Source organism: Homo sapiens, chromosome X (assembly GCF_000001405.40).
Source record: "Homo sapiens chromosome X, GRCh38.p14 Primary Assembly".
Taxonomy (NCBI): Eukaryota; Metazoa; Chordata; class Mammalia; order Primates; family Hominidae; genus Homo; species Homo sapiens.
This window is the reverse complement of record NC_000023.11, coordinates 69,381,771-69,384,112: the sequence shown is the minus strand read 5'-3', so window position 1 is coordinate 69,384,112 and position 2,342 is coordinate 69,381,771.

Genomic DNA, 2,342 nt, shown 5'->3' with positions numbered 1-2,342 from the left:
TAGAAATGGGATAGCTGGAAAAGGGGAGCTGGCCCAACATCATCTACAACAGCAGGGCTGCCATCATGGACTTCTAAAGGCCTCCTCCTGCTAGGGGGTGCAAATGCTTCACTCATTGTGACTCTACCTATCAGCTATGAACTAGCTGTGTGTCACTGACTAGAGCTACTGGTGTGTTGTAAATGGAAGGGTTGGGAAGTTGACACTTGTACTAGAATGAGACAAGAGTCCAAGCTCCTGGGTTAGGGAGACCACATGGTAAGACAGGCAGAGAGTTGTGGAGAAGACACCAGACAAAAGTGCCGCTAGGATTGTGTCAGGTCATCAGGAGTGAGTGTGCCATCCCTTCAAGAGACACTGTTTGAGGGTCCTCCAAGTTTATTAGTTTTTTCACTAGGATTAAACTGGAATTGATCCTGACAGATTGTTTTTATGCTGCCTGTGGTTTTGTAAATTATAGTATTTCCTTCTTCTCTTTGTTCATTTTCCTTGTGAAAAAGTCAGCTCGTACTAATATGTTTGAGGGAACCAAGGGAATAGCTTGGTGCCCATCCTGAGGCTGGTATGTTGCATGATAATGATAGCAGCTACCACTTATTGAGCACTTAATATGTACCAGGCATCTACTGAATGCTTACTTTTAGGCATTATTAGTTCATTGAGTCCTCCTAACAGGACTTGGGGTTGTACTGTATATGAGGGCAGAGAAGGAGACAGGAAAGTGTCAAAGATGATGCTTTGCTTCTGAATGGATAGTGGTGCCATTTTCAGAGATGGGGAATACTGGAGAACGAGCTGTGTTCTGGCCTCAGCTCTGTCTTCTCACGGAGGAAACATTCCAGTTTTTGTGAATCCCTCTATGGGAGGCCTGTTTTGAAAACTCTAGAGATTCTTAGAGGTGCATGGCATCCTGATTGGGAGGTTTCTAGATTGCAAAGGACTTGCTAATTCCTTTCTTTCTTTAGTCACTCTTTACTGATGTAACTGGTGTGTCAAAACAGAAAATTTGCGTTCAACCCATCCAGTTCCTCAGAGGGACATCAACTCTTGATTGTTCTAGGACAAGACAAAGACTCATGCTTTTTCTCTCTCTCCACCTCAACCCCAGCAAGATATAAACTATGAGGATGTGTAGAGAGATGTACATTTGCTACTTTGTCCCTTCTCTAAAAAAGAGTCACAAGAGAAACCATTTGGGTAGTAAATAAACCTGCAAACAGTTTTTAATTTCTAGGTACTTAAAGATAATAGGTATTGAGTGCTATGCCCTTTACATGGATTATCTTTTTTATTTTAAGATCTGTGTGAAATAGGTACTTGTGTCCATTAGGACGGTTTTAGCTGCGAGTAAGAGAAACCATGACTCAAACCAGCCTAACCAATTAGAAAATTACTATCTCAAATAACAGAATTCCAGGGGTAGAGTGGGCTCAAGCATGACAAAATCAGTGGTTCAACAATATCATCAGGGAACTAGAATCTTTCCGTCTCTTTTTTCCACCATCCTTAGCAAAACTTCTTTTTAAGGTTGGTTCCCCTGGTGGTTGGAGATGAATACATCTGTGCCAAATGTCACTTCTAGGTGTTAACATCACCTAGAGGAAGACAGAAACTCTCTCTTTGTCTCCCTAGGAGGAAGGAAATCTTTCCTAGAGGTGCCTAGGTAGATTTCCCCTTATATCTCATTGGCTAGGATTGGGTTGTATATTCATTCCTGAACCAATCACTAGCAAGGAAAATAGAAATGGTGTGATTGGATTAGCTGAATCATTTGAAGCAGAAGGAAGGATGCTTAAATACTACCATGTTCCCATTCTACAGAAAAGGATACCAAAGCTCACTGAGATGAAGTAACAAAGTAACTTGCCCAAAGTAACACCTAGTAAATGACACAACTGAGAGGTAAATCCAGTGCTTCCCTATTTTACTATATTTATTGACTACTAAATATATGTTAATTGCTAGGTACTTACTGAAGTAGTGCAAAGATGTTCTTATTATCCAAGTATTCATTTTCTAAGTCACTGCAGTCATAAGATTAGGTAGGAAAGCAAGAGACCATTAAGGTATTCACTAGCAAACTGGCCAATTATAGAATTACTCTGGCATCCCTCCCAGATTAACATTAGAATCTCGACCAGTCTTTTCTGATTGTTGAGTATTATAAACACCAGAACGTAAAGAGAAAATACAATGCCAATGAGTTTGCAAAGTAAAACTGCAAATATTAGAAAAGATTCAGGAGTTCATGAAATCAACAAAAGTGATATTGGAAAACTTCCAGCATCTCAGCAAAGCCATTGACACAAGAGAAGGCTGGCAGAATTAGATCAGTTAAAAGT